The 16,694-nt window shown below is 50.9% G+C and overlaps 8 annotated features.

The window, feature by feature from the left end:
• Positions 319–819: an enhancer, noted in NCBI's record as "H3K4me1 hESC enhancer chr9:129299453-129299953 (GRCh37/hg19 assembly coordinates)". NCBI's record gives its function as "activates a minimal SCP1, AML or CMV promoter by ChIP-STARR-seq in naive H9 embryonic stem cells {active_cell/tissue: H9 hESC(naive)}" and the evidence as "EXISTENCE:reporter gene assay evidence [ECO:0000049][PMID:30033119]".
• Positions 820–1,320: an enhancer, noted in NCBI's record as "H3K4me1 hESC enhancer chr9:129298952-129299452 (GRCh37/hg19 assembly coordinates)". NCBI's record gives its function as "activates a minimal SCP1, AML or CMV promoter by ChIP-STARR-seq in naive H9 embryonic stem cells {active_cell/tissue: H9 hESC(naive)}" and the evidence as "EXISTENCE:reporter gene assay evidence [ECO:0000049][PMID:30033119]".
• Positions 2,146–2,670: an enhancer, noted in NCBI's record as "NANOG-H3K27ac-H3K4me1 hESC enhancer chr9:129297602-129298126 (GRCh37/hg19 assembly coordinates)". NCBI's record gives its function as "activates a minimal SCP1, AML or CMV promoter by ChIP-STARR-seq in primed H9 embryonic stem cells {active_cell/tissue: H9 hESC(primed)}" and the evidence as "EXISTENCE:reporter gene assay evidence [ECO:0000049][PMID:30033119]".
• Positions 3,197–3,721: an enhancer, noted in NCBI's record as "H3K4me1 hESC enhancer chr9:129296551-129297075 (GRCh37/hg19 assembly coordinates)". NCBI's record gives its function as "activates a minimal SCP1, AML or CMV promoter by ChIP-STARR-seq in naive H9 embryonic stem cells {active_cell/tissue: H9 hESC(naive)}" and the evidence as "EXISTENCE:reporter gene assay evidence [ECO:0000049][PMID:30033119]".
• Positions 3,722–4,248: an enhancer, noted in NCBI's record as "H3K4me1 hESC enhancer chr9:129296024-129296550 (GRCh37/hg19 assembly coordinates)". NCBI's record gives its function as "activates a minimal SCP1, AML or CMV promoter by ChIP-STARR-seq in naive H9 embryonic stem cells {active_cell/tissue: H9 hESC(naive)}" and the evidence as "EXISTENCE:reporter gene assay evidence [ECO:0000049][PMID:30033119]".
• Positions 6,215–6,848: an enhancer, noted in NCBI's record as "H3K4me1 hESC enhancer chr9:129293424-129294057 (GRCh37/hg19 assembly coordinates)". NCBI's record gives its function as "activates a minimal SCP1, AML or CMV promoter by ChIP-STARR-seq in naive H9 embryonic stem cells {active_cell/tissue: H9 hESC(naive)}" and the evidence as "EXISTENCE:reporter gene assay evidence [ECO:0000049][PMID:30033119]".
• Positions 15,511–16,011: an enhancer, noted in NCBI's record as "H3K4me1 hESC enhancer chr9:129284261-129284761 (GRCh37/hg19 assembly coordinates)". NCBI's record gives its function as "activates a minimal SCP1, AML or CMV promoter by ChIP-STARR-seq in primed H9 embryonic stem cells {active_cell/tissue: H9 hESC(primed)}" and the evidence as "EXISTENCE:reporter gene assay evidence [ECO:0000049][PMID:30033119]".
• Positions 16,012–16,512: an enhancer, noted in NCBI's record as "H3K4me1 hESC enhancer chr9:129283760-129284260 (GRCh37/hg19 assembly coordinates)". NCBI's record gives its function as "activates a minimal SCP1, AML or CMV promoter by ChIP-STARR-seq in primed H9 embryonic stem cells {active_cell/tissue: H9 hESC(primed)}" and the evidence as "EXISTENCE:reporter gene assay evidence [ECO:0000049][PMID:30033119]".

The raw sequence follows: 16,694 nt of genomic DNA, 5'->3' as shown, positions 1-16,694 counted from the left end.
ACTACTGGCTTCTTAGCTCACTCCAGATAAATTCCAAAGTCCTAAGCATGAACAATCACACCCTACACAATCTGGCCCCTGTGTTTCTCTGAATTTACCTGGTCACTCCATTCCAGCCATTGCTCTTCCTTAGATAGAAAAACAGTCTCAGCTCGGGGCCTTTGCACTGGCTCTTCCTTCTGCCTGGAGAGCCACACCATCTCTTTCTTCAGGTCTCCGCCCAAAGGTCACCAATGAATAAGGTTGTTCTTGACTCCCATATAACACAGCAACTCCCACGGTGACTGTCTTGGTCTTTATCCTGCTTATTTTTCTCCATGCTATTAGGTTGGTGCAAAAGTAATTGAGTTTTTTGACATTACTTTTAATGGCAAAAAAACGCATTACTTTTGTACCAACCTAATAACAATGCCACCTGATATTAGACACACACAATGCACACACACACATACACACACACACACATGCTGCTTTTTAAATTAAAATTTGTTTTAACCTACTAAAATGAAAACTTCAAGAGAACAAGGATTTTGTCTTGTCTACCCTGTAGCCCCAGTACCTGGAATAGCATCTGGAAGAATGCCATCCATCAATGTGAGCAGTTTGGTGTGGCTGGGGCAGGGTGCACCCGAGGGATGGGCAGGCGATGGGGCTGTGTACTCCTAGGCAGCAGCAGGAGGCTGGGCAGAGCCTCAGATGACGGCCGAGGAGCCCGGAACTTCCAGAGGTGACCAGGACCCAGGGAAGGGTAACAGGGTCAGATTCACGCTTGGGGATGGTGGCATTGCCCGTCTGGAGGAGGGCGGGCTGGAGGGGGGGAGTGAGATGGGCAACAGTGAGAGAGAATGACCCCAGTGCAGACAAGAAATGGCAGAGGAGGCAAGACAGCTGCCTGGGCTGCTGGCGGGGCCGTGGGGGATGAAGATGCCATTCTCTGACCCAGGGGCCCTCAAGGGGGAGATTCTATTTTGGGTGTCTAGGAAGCTGGGCCACGGGGCTCATGGAGCTCAGGATAGAGGCCTGGACTGGTAGGAGTGGTTTGGGGGTGGGGATATGGGGAGCATGATGTCACTGGCATTGTTGTCATCATCACTCTTATAATCTTCATCAAAACAAACTTTTATTGAGTGCTTAGTGTGTACCTGGCACTGTGCTCAGAGCTGTGGGCAGAGTTCTTTCTTGGCGTTTCTCTATAACCCAGTAATGTGCTGCTACATGTCTCACAACCTGCTCTCTGGAGGAAAAAAGCCCTGATTTGTGGAGTTTGACCATGTCTATGGTGTAAATACTCCTACTATGGCTGATTTCAAGTGGTGAACATGATGTTACTGCACGTGGAGTTAGGCACAGATGTGCCACAGCTGCCATGATGTGGCATTTCCAACACAGATACAGTAGACATGAGCTCAAGGGCATAGATGATAGGAAAATGAAGTAAACGTATAGGAATGGATGAGTTTGGAGTGTTTATTACCTTTGATTTGAATATCATTTATTTAAGTTTACATAATTTAAATGTTTAACAAAGGCTGTGTTTAACAACCAGCTTGTAACATTAATTCTTGAAAATGTAACCAGCAGCTCTTGCAAACTGACATGGACCGATGCCCACACCCCACTGCTACAATCTCACAATACAGACATACAGACGCAGTCATCAGGGAGGGGAAGGGAGGTCACCCGGCTGGTAAGTGGCAGAGACAGGTGTCCTTGAGCAAGTAATGTTCTGTCCCTGAGCACCAGTTTCCTCACCTGTGAAATGGGGACAGTAAAACGTCCCTTCCGGGTGCTGTGGCGGTTTAATAAGCCAATGCTTATAAAGCAACTGGCATATAGTAAATGCTTCATAAGTGGGGACCGCTAGTGTATTATTGTTATTTTTATTTTGTTCATTTTTGAGACGGAGTCTCACTGTCACCCAGGCTGGAGTGTAGTGGTGCAATCTCGGCTCACTGCAACCTCCGCTTCATAAGTGGGGACCTGACCACTAGTGTATTATTGTTATTTTTATTTTATTCATTTTTGAGATGGAGTCTCACTCTGTCCCCCAGGCTGGAGTGTAGTGGTGCAATCTCAGCTCAATGCAACCTCCACCTCCCTAGTTCAAGCGATTCTCCTGCCTCAGGCTCCTGAATGGCTAGGATTACAGGAGTCTGCCACCACGCCTGGCTAATTTTTGTATTTTTAGTACAGATGGGGTTTCACTATGTTGGCTAGGCTGGTCTCGAACTTCTGACCTCAAGTGATCTGCCCGCCTCAGCCTCCCAAAGTGCTGGGATTACAGCGTGAGTCACCGTGCCCAGCTGTGTTATTGTTATTTTAATACTAATAACAAATTCGGATCCTGCCCTCAAGGTATTCATGGCCTAGTGGAAGGAGAGGCAAACAATAAGACATACACACATTCAAAGGATTCCAATTCAGGCAGAAAAGGAAGGCTTCCTGGAGGAGGATGCATTTGAACTGGGCCTTGTAGGTTTGGGAGAGGGTGGGTCCATTTGGGTTAAGGTGAGGCATTGCTGGCTGTTGGCCCACAACAAAGAGAGGAGGGACATGGGGATGCATCTGGAACGAGGACCAGGTGAGAGAGGAGGCTGGAGCCCATGAGAAGATTGCTGGATGGAGAGACGGAGTCTGCATTTTCTTCTGAGGGCAGTGGGGAGCCACAGCGGGCTGTTCAGCAGGGTGTGACAGGGTTGGATTGGTCTCTTGGAACATCAGTGTGACTGCAAAGGGGAGGAGGACCAGGAGGGGGCCACAGTGATGGTGGCAGAGGCTGTCCCAAGGGGCGTGGGGATGGCAGCCCACCCATCTGGGCTCCTTCACCAGCCTGAGTGGTGCTGGGGTGTCCCTCGGCACCTCCCCTCCTGTACTTACTGGAGAGGGCAAGCAGGACTCCTCCCCCACTGCTCCAGCCCCAGCCCCATAGCTAATCCTGGTGACACCGGGTCCTGAGGCTGGGGCGGGGCAGCCGGGCAGCTGGCCTCAATTAGCTGGGAGCCGGGTCTGGACAGTGTCATTAGGAGAAAACCAGAGCCTGCCCATAAACTCTAATGAATGCATTAATGGAAGGCTTGTGCGCCTCAAAGGGAAAAAAAAGCAAGTCTAAATAAAGTTATTAACACAGCCCACCTGTGTTCGGCTCTCGGCCTATATTGTTCAAATAGCCCATTAACTCCTGAAGCATCCAATCTTGAAAGTGAGCCCTGCCTCTCTGAAGCAGACGTTTAACTGCGTTCATATAATTCAATTAGATTCCGCAGTCGTGGTCCAAAGGCACTCTCCCGGCTTTCATCTCAGTAATGGCCTGCAGGCTGGAGCAGGACACAGGGGGTTAAAAAGTGGGGCTCAGAACCTGCCTTTTGGCCTGACTCACTCCATCACCCCAAGGGCCCTCCAAATGAGTTTCCTGGGGCAGTGCCTTTATCACTGGAGCACACTCACGGATGGACTTCCCGGCCCCGGGATTCTCACTCGGAGACCTCTCATGCGCTCTCGACCCAGCACGGGCCCCGTGCCCCTTCTCCCGCTCCATCCCCGCCTTGTCCAATGGGGCAGCACACCACGGACCCCGACTCCACACAGCCAGCCCCATTAATAAAGAGTTAAGAAAATTCATTAGGAAGTAGGTCTTTTATAGATTCCATTAAAGCCTTCTTCCTACTTCTGTCACTGAGAAAGGATAAAAATCCTTTTATCACTCTACAACTTGTTAATGTCCCACCCCGGGAGCGTTTCATCTGCAATAAACATCTTCACAAAATATGCATCCCCAGGGAGGAGCCGTTAATTTCCTCAAGGCCTCACACATGTAAGGGATTTTATTGCCTGCAGGTGCTTCATGATATTGTGTGAGCTTCTAATAAACGTCCAGTAAACCGCAGGTAGCGCCTCGGAGAGAGATGGGCCCATGCACCTGTCCACAAAGGGCCTCCACGCACCGCGCCTTCACCTTCTGTGGCCCAGCCCTGGCACGGTCAGCTCCTGAGCCCAGCCTGCCCCTCGGGACGCCCGCAGGTAAGGTCCAACTCTGAACTCCTTGACCCACTTACGGACCCTGAAGGATCCTGGGGGAGCCTGGGGCTCACTGCTGTTTGATGCCAGGAAAATCCCACCGTCAAACCTACACACCCTGGCAGGAATCGCAAACACGCCAAGGCGTTCTGGTTTTTTATTTCTTGGTTTTCTTTCCTTGTTCATTTTGGAGGCGTGACCCCTGTTATGGTCTGCTGCGGAAATGTGATTATGAACAAATTTAACTTCCTATTTTCTTAATAACTGAGATAGAGGGAAAAGGGAACTTGCCTCTCTTAAGTGAGTGTGTTTTGCATATCTTAAGGGCAGTTTTCGAGATGTTAAAAATAATTGCTAGGAAAATACGTCGTAGCTCAGTCACTAGAAAAAAGACGACTAAAGGAATAATTAGAAGTTTGCATTTAATAAAAATCTCTCTCTGGGATTCTTTCCAATTTTTATCACCAAGTGAATCGTCAGGTGCGTGCTGGGTGTCTGTGCAGATGTGCTTTGTGGCAGGGGGGAGTTGTGGATGCCACCAAGGGCCCATTCCTAGCCCCGTGAGCTGCAGAGCAAGACTTGGGGTCTGGGGGGTTCACAGAGGCCTGCGGGGAGGAGGATGGGAGACGGCCCAGGTCAGTAGCAGGAGACCAACAAGATGGCCTCTCCAGCTCTTTCCAGAATGAGGTGCCTCTGAGAGCCGGGTGTTGGGATGGGGTGATCCCTCCTAAATCAAAGACAGCTTATGCTATCTTTGGACAAAAGACAACTGGCATTTCTGGGACACCTTCACAGCGGTGGGTCTCTAAGGGACGTGACCTGAGGCCAGGATGGTGGCTGGAGCTTCTGTGAGCTCGGTTTTCATTCAAGTCTGTAAATGCTGAGTGTGGACGGTTCAGCCCACCAGGCCTCATCTGTAGGTGCCCATGTCGGCTTGGGGCACACACACCCCGCTCGCGGGGTGGCACAAAGGAACCCAAGCTAGGGAGAGAAGGGAGAGGGCCACTGGATTTAGCCCTCCTGTGCCCCTGTGGCTGGCAGAGACATCTCACTGGGGCCTCGGAAGCTTCTGGAAAGAGGAGATCCCCAAATGGATTTTGGAAGTGTTGCGGAGGAAGAGCTAACTCGGCCGTGTTTACAGACCCCTCCTTTCCTAGGTAGGAGCAGGCTGCAGCAGAATCCAACAGGCTCAGAATCCAGGACTCTAGGGTCGAGCAAAGCCAGACAGCTGAGCCCCTGGGTGTGCACATTCCTGGCCTGAGATGACTAACAATAAAACAGAGATAATGTCGCTGAAAATATGGGCCCCGCACAGCTCTCGCTGTGGGTCAGGGCCAGGCTCATTAGGACCTTATCTCTAGAATCTTCCTAACTACCCCTTTACAGATGAAAAAGCTGAGGTTTGAGAAGTGAGGTCATTTATCCAAGGTCATCCAATGGGGAAAGAGAAGTTCAGGGTGGCCTGGAACAGAGGCAGGGGGCTCTACCCGTACCACCACATGGCATCCTCTTACCAAACCTTGCAGAAAGGGCATCAGTCCGCATTTTCCAGAAGACAAGCTCAGGCTCACCCTGCAGTAGGAGGAACCTGGCACAGCTGTGACATCTGCCTCCTTCCCCAGACATGGCTGCCCGCACCCCCCGCTTCTCTGGGCTGGGAGGGGAGAGGGTCATTCGCCCTCTGCCCCTGCCCTGGCTGGCCCGCCTGGCAGGGCCCAACAGAAGCCACAGGAGGGCCAGGGAGCCTGGAGTGGCTTCAGAGGTATGAAGGACATGATGAAAGCCCTGGAGCACGGGACCCAGCCGAAAGGTTAGAGGAAGCAGAGTTATTCTGCCCGGGGAGCGGAAGGCCCAGGGGGCAGGAGTCCTGGCTAATGGAGAGCACCAGATGCTGACCAGCTGTTCCCTGTCTCCCTGGAGGCTCAGCAGGAACAAAAAGATTTCTCCTACAGCAGGAGGGAGTTAAGGAGGATAGGAAAAAGAACTGGCTGAAGGAGGGGTTTGGACTGAGATAGTAAGAGAACCATCCTCTGAGGAGCTGTAAGAAACAGGTTGGCAGCCCCTAACTGGGTTTTGGCCAGGAGGGCAATGCCAGCACCCGGGGCAGGGATGTGGTTTGGGTGCAGCGGGAATGGGGACACTCCCTTGAGAAGTGGTATTCTCCTCTGAGAACATGATCTGAATTAGTAGATCCCTGTGCCTGCCCAGCCCTGCCGTGTGGAGCAGGGGCTAAGCCACCCCAGTAGGGCCAGCAGTCTGAGGTCTCATAGGAGCCTCTGAGGCCATTTCCCCAAGCTCAATGCAGGAGGTGAGAGGTCTGGGAAACCCCACATCTCCGGGGCCTGGACCCAAGCTGGCTGGGGAGAGCCAGGCCCACAAGTCCCGACTTTGAACGGCCAAAGTTCCCAAAAATTTATCCTCTACCCCAGGTCATCAAAACACACGGTAGTAAACTGTAAAGCAAACATCAAGGAAACCTGCAAAGTCCCGATTCTCCCTGCGGTGAACAGTTTGGTGCTTAACAAGAAAATCCAACTGAAATTTCTGAGTGTTTTTGTCTGCGTGCTTGTTGGGTGACCCAGCCAGGCACGTCCTCCCTTGGAGCCTCAGCTTCCTTATCATAAAGCAGGGACCGGCTCAGTAATCTGGGAGGCTTGCAAAGACAGGAGAGGGTGAGACCCAGAAAGACTCGCTCAGGGCTGCCGGAGCTGGGCGGCTTCCTTCCCTCCTGCAGGCCTCAGATCTCACCCAACCCCCAATTCACAGATAGGAAAACTGGGGTTCAGAGAGGAGATGGGACGAGTTTGTCACACAGCTAGCTGATGGCCAGGCAAGCATTGTTCCCAGCCCAGCACAAAGCACTCTTTTCTTCATGGACTCAGTTTTGCTTTGAGGTGGGAAAACTGGGATGTCCCTGTTCAGCCTGCTGGACCCTGTTTGGAACCCAAGGCTAGGGTTGCCAGATGGCATACACCAGGGCAGGTGAATTTCATATGAACCAGGAATAAGTTTTTAGTATAAGTATGTCCCATGCAACCTTTGGGACATACTTATGCTTAAAAAAAAAAAAATTATTCCTGGTTGGGCGTGGTGGTTCATACCTGTGATCCCAGCACTTTGAGAGGCCTAGGCAGGGGGATTACCTGAGGTCAGGAGTTCGAGATCAGCCTGGTCAAAATGGTGAAACCCTGTCTCTACTAAAAATACAAAAATTAGTCAGGTGTGGTAGCGGGTGCCTGTAATCCCAGCTACTCGGGAGCTTGAGGCAGGAGAATTGCTTGACCCCAGGAGGTTGCTGTGAGCCATGATCATGCCACTGCACTCCAGCCTGGGCAACAGAGCAAGAGTCTGTCTCCAAAAAAAAAAAAAAAAACAAACAAACATATTATATATATTCCTGGTTCATTGGAAATTCAAATTTAATGGGATGTCCTGTATTTTTATTTGCTAAATCTGGCAATCCTACGCAGTGTCCCAGTAGGGCTGCCCCATCTCCTCACAGGGAGAACCTTCCAGGCCCCTTCTCTGGCAGCAGAAACCCAGGTTAGAGCCACTTGCTCTCAGCTTATGCAGACACCAAAAATCCGTTACCAGCCCTTTTCTGCTACAAGAGTAGAAAATGTGTTTCCTTGTGATTTTGTTTTCTTTCAATATATATTTTTGGAGGGGACTTGGAATGGGGGGTGGAATCCCTTAGAATGGGAATTATTTATCAGGGAAATACGGCATTTTCGAGTTTGCTGTTTGTAGAGAACGTAGCAGTGCCGGCAGGCAGCCTCGTGATCTCCGGTTTCTCTGGAAGAATACGGAAAACAGGAGTCATTATAAGGGAAACTTTTCCTTCTGATGCCTCTGGGGCCTCATCGCCTCAATTTAAAACTTGTAAGACACAGGTGAATTTTTAAGGGTTAAAGTGGACAGAATAAGATAAAATATCAGAGAAATTTCCTGGAGTAGCCTTGGGAATATGGTTCCCTGGATCAATGGTATTTCATTTTTCAAATTGTTGAGAGCTTTTTCAAAAAATTATTTCCAAGGAAGTCATTGTATTTGCACATAAAGAGATTCAGAAGGCTTTTCTTTTTCTTTCTTTCTCTCTTTGCAACTCTCTTTCTTAAGCTAAGACAAAGATGTTGAAGACGAATTGTTTGAATGAAGCAATCAGGAAAAAAATATTTGCAGAGTCAAGAAAGATCAACAGAACATGAAAAAAGGAAACATGAAAAATAAAATACACACTAGAAAAAGTCTTTATATGAGATTTTCTTTAAAATATTTTAACATTTGACCTTCTACCTCGGTGTGCTATTCTAATCCCATTTAGTTTCAAAATGCCATAACTATCAGTGTGCAGATGGATGGGCTTTTTAAAAAATGCCGTAACTAGAACTTCAAATCTTGACCACTTTTTCTTACTTTTCCCAAATATTTGATGGCTTTTTTTTTTTTTTTTTTTTAAACATCTTCCCGGACCAGGAGAAACATTCTTCTGTGGGAAAATCATGTATTCAATATATTTGCTTTCCAGAATGGTCTTCAAAGGCATTCAGGCTTTGCCTTTAAAATGGTAAAATTTTGCAAAGGCCAAATCTGAGGCCCAGTTGACACCAGAATCAGAGCGGGAGGAGTTTCCCAGTGCTCACCAAGGCTGAACTGATGAGGGGAGTCCCAATCACTGAGTGCAGAGTAGTGCTGGAACCAAAGGGATGAAAAACCTAAACCTGCACCCCATTTCTATCTCGCGTTCATCCTCTTCCCTCTCTGAACACAGACCCAAGATCGAAATCTCAGCCCGCAGCCTGGAGCCAGGAGGTGCGGCTTGATGTCAATTACTGCCCAATTCCAGAGGTGCCATCAAAGAGTTAGCTAGGATGTCCCAGCGCGCAAATGTGGGATAATTGGGAAACAAATTCTACAAACATCTTGAAAGGGGCAAAAGACCTTTGATCTTTCTATAGAAAGGAGACATTACAATGCCGTCTGCCTTCTGGGGCCTGCACACATCTCATACCAGGTTAGAGGATGGCATCTTTCTGAGAAATCAGCCGACACCTAATTCCATCGTACCTTAATTATCCTAACTGGTTTCACATGGTCAAGGCATTTTTTCCAAAGATTAGAGGAGAAAGAGGGACTGACAAAATAATTAAATATGCAATTTGCCAAGCGTGGGCAATATGGCTTTGAAATCACCTTTTCAGGAAGTTTTACCGCTTGTTCATTGACATGTATATTGCAGGCTTCAGACTTTTATTTAAGCTCTTTTGATTGCCTTAATGGATTAATACCCGAGTACCATCAGCGAGGGGCAGAGACCCAAGGCTGTTTCTAATTTCGAAAATATTGCGCCCGCTTCCTCTGGTGTTATGACAAAAACAAGTATGTAGAATTTGCCTTCTCACTTAAAGGAACAGGCCGATTTCCTCTAATAATTGCCTGATGTAAGAATCTGCGTCTCACACATGGTGTTGTCTGTTCTAGGAACATTTCATGGTGCCAGGGGCCAGGGTGCTGGCAGCTTGGGCAGGCCCGGGCGGGCCTGCGTTGCGTGCATTTGGGGCATGGATCGGTTTGGGGTAGCATCCCCGAAATGGGTCTGTGTCTCTGGACAGTAGAACGCCTCTCAACCTAAGGCCCTGGCAGCGTCCGGGGTGTGGAGGAATGTGTTACTGCCTTGCTTATAACTCCTGCCGTGGGTAAGAAACATTCCATAGGGTTGGGGGTTGGGGGAGGCTGCTAGTCGGGATTTGGAGAAGAATCTCCGCTCAGACCCTGCTGTATCCAACAGAGGCATCCGGAAACCGGAGTTTGCTGTGGGGGAATAGTTTGCATTCTGTCCTCATGATGGGGAGAATTGGAGTTCAGAGGAAGGGATCCGTGGAAGTGATTGCACCATTCCCATCTTTTGGTTAAGCTGGGTGTCTGGTGGCGGGGGGCAGTGTCTGGGGCCTCCTCTGAGGACATGAAGGGGAGGTCTCCTGGGGCAGGTTTTGTCTGGTCTAGGACATCTAGACATCTAGGTACCCAGTGGGCAGAAGAGGGATCATCTCAAACATGCAGAGTGCCTGGGTACTGAGAGGGGTTAAAGGATAGTTGGAAAAGACAGAGAACAGAAAAAGACAGGGAGAGCCAAAAAGAAATACTAAGAGGAAGAAGAGAGACCCACGGAGATACTGTCATACCCTCTCACGTGCGCACACACGCGCAGAGACAGTGAGATTGCCTTTGAAGGCAGAGGGACAAGGCCTAATTGTCCCAGGGATGTGCACGGCGGCCTGGCTTTTCATCATTCCCAGAACTCTCTAATGAGGCTGTGGCCTCTCCTGGTGGGAACTTTGCTCCCTGAAATCAGCTTTGATAAAGGGGACAGACCGTCTGGGACGAGTTACTGGGTTTTCCTCTTTTCCTTTGAACCCTGTGGTGGTTTTGCTCTTTCATGGCAAACAGAGCAGGGACAAAGTCGCTGGCCTCTGTCCTCGGGCAATAGAGACCAGCCCACCTCCTGGGGCACCCAGGCGTGTGGGGCAGGGAGATGGCAGGCCCTGTGGGGGTGTCACTGGCCCAGGTCACTTTGCAGGGCTTGATATCCAGACCCACTTGCCCGTCACGATTGTTCTGCTGGTCCCCCAGTAGAAGCAAAACCTTGAATGCATCTCAGCAAATCGCAGCAGCCAGGAGGTCCCTCGCATCATGAGGGCACACAGGCTAACAACACTGATGACAAGAACACTGGCTGCTCACGGAGCACTCACTCCGCGTCAGGCTCTGAGCCAAGTATTTGACAAATGCTATTCATGGCAGTAGCAGCCCTGTGCCCCTTTTCCAGAAGAGCAAACAGAGGCTCCGAGAACTAGGTGGCTCACTGATCAGAGGCAAAATCGGACCGAATCTGTCATCCCTGGGCCCTGCTCTCAACCACTGGCCTTCCTGAAGGTGGGGGAGCCTTAGCTGGCCCCCTGGACATGGCAGTTTTCTAGCTGCACCATCCCTCTCTCGTTTCTCTTACCCATGACTGGGCTCTCTGTGAGGTCACAGCCATAAAGTCAGCAAGGCCTCAGCTCTAAGGTCTCTGGACACCTATCCCTACCTCACTCTCTATGCCCTGGAAGGATGCAGTGTCCAGAGGTCTCCCTGAGCCCCGGCTGTCCTGGGCAGCAGCTCTGGAAGGAATGGGGGGTGTGGAGTTAGCCACTCTGGGGCAGGAGGAGAGGAAAGGGCCTGGCTACCCCAGGAGGACCACCAGCCCGGTGGGACTTGTCTTTGATCTCCGATGATTAAAACAAACACCCTCTCCGGTGCTTCCTCCTTGTCCGAGGAGGCCTTCCTTCCTGGCCGGCAGACATTGAACGGCCAGGGAGAGGCTGCCTGGTCCCAGTCCCAGGGTCCTCATTTGGAAGTTGTCCTAGGGTCAAAGGCAGCTCCAGAATGCCCCGGCTCTGGCCTGCTCTCCATCTTCTGACCCCAGTTGCCTTCCTCCTGCCGTGATCCCAGCCTCCAGCTCCTGAGGCTTTTCTGCCAGGCTCCTCAGCCTCCTCCCGGCTACAGCTCGCTCATCCCCAGCTGCAGCCACCCGGGTCAGGCGGCAGGGGTGGCCAGGGTCCCATTCACTGCAGGCCATTCACCTCTTATCTCTAAAGTTGGCAGGCTATGAGGAATGACCTGAAATTTGTTCTAACTTGTAAAAGAGAGAACATTGGCTGTAAGCTTTAATTTACTCCGAGTGCCCGCTGCGTGTCAGGCCCTGGGTTGGTGCTGGGGAGACAGCAAGAGTGAAAGAGGTGTGGTCCTGCATTCATGGAAGGGTTTCTGGTTCTTGTTTTTTTTTTTTTTTTTCTTTTGAGAGAGCGTCTCACTCTCTCACCCAGGCTGGAGTATAGTGTCGTGGTTTTGGCTCACTGCAACCTCTGCCTCCCGTGTTCAAGCGATTCTCCTGCCTCAGCCTCCTGAGTAGCTGGGACTACAGGCACATGCCACCACACCTGGCTAATTTTTGCGTTTTTAGTAGAGATGGGGTTTCACCATATTGGTCAGGCTGGTCTCGAACTCCTGAGCTCCAGTGATTCACCCACCTCGGCCTCCTAAAGTGCTGGGATTACTGGCATAACCCACCTCACCCAGCCGGTTTCTGGTTCTTATGAGCAATGGATTCTGTGCCACACACTTCACAGCTGTTTGGGACACCACAGAGCACAGCTAGGCCATGAAGAGAGAGGGCTGGGGAGAGACCTTCTTGTTCAGTGTCTGGGGACAGCCCTCCTGTTTCTCTCTAGGGATGGCGTGTGGTGGGGAAGCCACCCTGGAGCAGCTTCATGCTCCCGTCCGAAAGAGCTCCTTCAGCAGCTCGCGGCTGAGCCACACGACGCCTCTGCTGGGAGGCAGGAAGTTGCATATTCCTGCCCGTGTACCCGGCAGAACGTTCTTTCCACGTCCTACCATTGACAAATCCTCTTGGACTTCCTGGTCACTTCATGATGACAGCGTGCAGAGGGAGAGCAGGTAATCAAAGGACGGCCATGATGAGGGCGAGGGGTTTTTCCTCCCAAATTTGTATGATGAAAATATCCAAACATACAGAAGAGTTGAAGGAAGAACAAGGAACACTCTCAGAGCCCATCCTAGAGCTGACGCGTAACCATGTCACACGCTTGCTTTATCTGTCTGTGTAGATACATCTCTAGAGCTATGTATTTTTTGCCGTAAGTTTGAAAGTAAGTTCCAGGCATCATCCCTAAATACTTTCGTGTGCTTTTCTAAGAATGAGGATATTCTCTAACCACAACACCATTATCATCTGAAGAAAATTAACAGTGATTTGAGACGGAGGGATTTTGGGAATTAGTCAAGGCGTAAGCGTTGAGACCTTCGTTAGATGAGGAGGTACTGTGTTGTATTACTGTTCGCAAAGCTTCCTTTGAGCTTGGTCCCCCTGCGGGGCAGCTGGAGAAAGATGGAATGACACTCCCATTCCAAAGTTTGAGATCTCCAGGGGAGCAGAGCACCACGCTAGTAGGGTAGGTGCTTGGGATGTGCACAGGGAACACGTCCCAGGCCAGAGGCCACCCCTGGGTCCCCCTTCATGCTCCTGGGCATAGAGGCTCCTGTTTTCCCAGTTCTGCCCCGTCCAGAGGAGAGGGGGGTGGAGCTTGGCAGGCAGATTGGATCTGGGCTGAATCTCTGTGAGACCTGGGCTGATTGGGCTTCCCCGCGACCAAGTCCTCAGCTCCCCTTGGGGTCACGGAAGCTAAGCTTGGGTGGGGAGATGTGGGGCCTTCCCAGGTGCTGAGCAACCCTTTTCTTTACCCTGTGGAGGGGACCTGGAGACAGGGACAGTGGAGGGGTTCAAGTGCCAAAATCTCCCCATCTCGACCCAGGGCTGAGATGGGTCCCTGGATCTTCCAGCTATGATGTCCCCAAGAATCTGCAAAATCTCCCACGACTCCTTCTGATGGGGGGTGTGCGTTGGGGCGTGCCCAGGTGAGAGCTGCAGATGGAGGCTGTGGGGTGACTGCATTTATCTGTGGGTGTGACCGAGCATCTCACAGGTCCAGGAGGGTGGTCCTCATATGTGCACAGAGACTGGAGGGGCGAGGGTGCATTTTGGTGCATGTATGGATGTCCCAAGAGCAGATCTGGGGTGTTCTCATGTCAGAATGTGGGTCTGTGCTCTGTGTAATGTTAGAAATAGGGCTTTGGGAACAGAATATTATTCAGCCTTAAAAAGGGGCAAAATTACAACACATGCTACAACACGGTGAACCTGGAGGATGTTATACTAAGTGAAATAAGCCAGTTACAAAAAGACAATGCAGAATGAATCCAGTTATATGAGGCATCTAGAGAAGTCAAGTTTATAGAGGCAGAAAATGGAATGGAGATTGCCAAGGGCTGGGGGACGGAGGAGTGGGGCGTTCTTACGTAGTGGGGACAGAGTTTCGGTTTTGCAAGATGAAATGAGTTCTAGAAATGAATGGGGTGATGATTGTACAACAACGTGAAGGTACTTAATGCTACCAAACTGTACTTTTAGATATGGTTAAGTGGGTGAATGTTGCATGATCTGTATTTTGCCACAGTGAGAAAAAAAAAGTGGGGTTCTGGTGGCCGTGACTGGCTGCCTTGTAAGGTTTCCTGTTTCTGAATGATGGTGACACCCACCCCGTCCCCATGTGACCTGCTTGCTCACTACTGTTTACCAGGAAAGCCAGAATATTGTCACTAGGAGAGAATGTTGTCAATCAGAGGAAATCTAACAGAGCCAGGGAGATGCTTTGGGGATCATACAAGTCTCAAACCCAAGACCCGTTTCTGGAAATGCTACCGTGTTCCAAGCAGATCTCACCAGCTAGGAATGGAAACAGAGGCATTCTGTCAAAGGAAAGAACTTGATGAGAAATTATTTTATGAAAGCCAAATTTTGGCATGTTTTCACATTTTAGTTTGTCAGAACACAGAGTAATAAATGTTAAACATGTTGTTTATTATTATGCTCGGTTGATTTCTTTATGATGACAATTTTATTTTTCAAGTTTGTCCTCGAGTGACTGCAGGATTCCAGAACAGAACGGGAGAGATGTTTTACAGTTTATCCCAGCAGGACCACTGGGAGAACAGTTTTTATTTAAAAAAAAAAAAAAAAAAAAGAGAGAGAAAAGGGGGTGGCCCAGGCCCCTGTTCCCCTCCCACGGTTGGGTCAGGGGTTGGAGTGGCGGCCAGGGCTGTCGTCAGGTCCCTGGTTATGAAGCTCTGCCTGCTGGCTGTGGTGGGATCTGTTACGGCTGCAGGGCCTGGCTGGTGGGAGGGAACTTGGCTCTGCTTGCTGCAGTCTTTGTTTCTGAAGCTGATGCCCGGTGGCTGGTTTGTGGTTGTGAACATGGGGAGCTCGAACGAGGAGTGGGAGAGGCCACCTATTTGGTGTGGAAGGCTCAGGAAGCCTGCCACAAAAGCCGCCCCACGGGAGAGGGGGACCAGTTGCGTGAGTTTCCTCTTCTAACTTCTCGTCTCCACCATCAGTGGATGGAGCAGGGGTTGGGTTCTAAACCCTGGTGGGCTGACGGTGGCGGAACCCAGGACAGCACCAGGAGCCTTCACACATTTGGCCCTCCTGTCACCTCCAGGCTGCGCAGGGCACCTTGCCTCTGAAAATCTGTTTCCTCAGCTGTAAAATGGGTCTCTGTGCCCACCCCTCGGGCCATTTCCTGGGAGCTCAGACTGAGCTGGGTGCTTCGGAGACAATGCTCCACCCAACTCTGTGTCCAATTCTGAATCCCATTTTCGGATGAGGAACTGGACCAGAGATGGAGAGCCACCTTAGCCAAAGTGCCCACAGCAGTGGGGGCAGCGAGGCTGGGTTAGGGTCCTGACTCTGTCTGCTTAGGATCTGCATAGGAAATCACCCAGCCTGGTTCAGGTGGGAGCTCTGTCCTGATGAAGTGATCTGGCTCCTGGGCTGAGGAGGAAGAGCATGCTTCCGGGGGCACAGGGAGCCTAGCGCTGAGCAGAGCTCAAGGGTCCTGGTCCAATGTGGACAACTGTGCTTGAGTCCCATAGGGTCTCTCCGTGGGTGGGATGCGGGGTCTCCGGTTCCTGGGTCTGTGCTCTTGGCTGAAGTTTGGGCAGCTGGTGAAGGGGCTGTCTGCGCCCCACACTGTGGATGTGCCAAGTGGGGAACCCTAACATCTGTTTACATGGGAGGGTCCTCTTTGGCGGGTTCTGAGCTGGATGCAGGGGGATCAGGTGCAAGTAGCCCTCCCAGGGAGAGAGGCGTGGGCCTGCTGGTGTCCAGAGGAACTTCCATGCAGATTCGGAGAAGGCACAGAGAGGCTGTGGCACTGGTCTAGTGTCACACAGCATGTTGGCAGAGGGGCCACCTGCCCAGCCCTTCCTGAGGCCTTTAGGGGGTCATCAGGAGTCTGAGGCTGGGGCTGGGGGCAGCATCTCGCAGCCCAGTTAATATTCCCACCTCTTTGGCATCCTGTGGCACACAGAGGGGCTTGGAGGAAGGACATGTGCCCCCAGTGCCTCCCAGCCAAGGCCTCATTCATCACATTACTGTTTTCACACCCAGGCCTGGGCCAGTGGGCTTGAACACCGATACTGGCCAGGGCAAGCTGACGGAGAGGCTGGTGAGGGGTTAGTTCAGGCTCCTTCCCCCAAGATTCGGCCCAGAAACACATCCAGCCAATCGTCCAGGCCCCCTCGGCCCCCGATCACCACCCCTGCTGTAGGAAACACTTTTAAGAAAGTCGAGGTGGGGGAATCCAAGATCCCTGGCACTGGCTGGGGGTGAGGTGGCCCCGCCACTGGCTGCTCGCAGAGGGGGACTCAGCTCCTGCCCCTCTGACCCGAAGCTTCGGAGGCCTCCAGCACGGCAGCCGGAGCCTCCATAAAAGAATAAGGATCACATTCCTCACTTTTTAAGTTGCACAAAAGCTGTATGCATAATTAATGTGCAATAAATGTGAGCGGCTGGAAATTAACTACATGGAAAAAAAAGAATATACTTAATTGTGAAAATTAATTTTGCCTTTATTCTTTTTCTTTTTTTCTCTCTCCCCCTTCCCCGGCCCTTTTACAACTTGTTATATTCTCAGAGCCCTTCAGATCTGGCTGGGGATCATCTCCTGGCCGACTTGCCTGCTGACCTCTTGCCAGGGAGCCGAGGACAAGATTAGTTTTAAGCC

Source organism: Homo sapiens, chromosome 9 (assembly GCF_000001405.40).
Source record: "Homo sapiens chromosome 9, GRCh38.p14 Primary Assembly".
NCBI lineage: Eukaryota > Metazoa > Chordata > Mammalia > Primates > Hominidae > Homo > Homo sapiens.
This window is presented reverse-complemented; position numbering and strand designations above follow the sequence as displayed.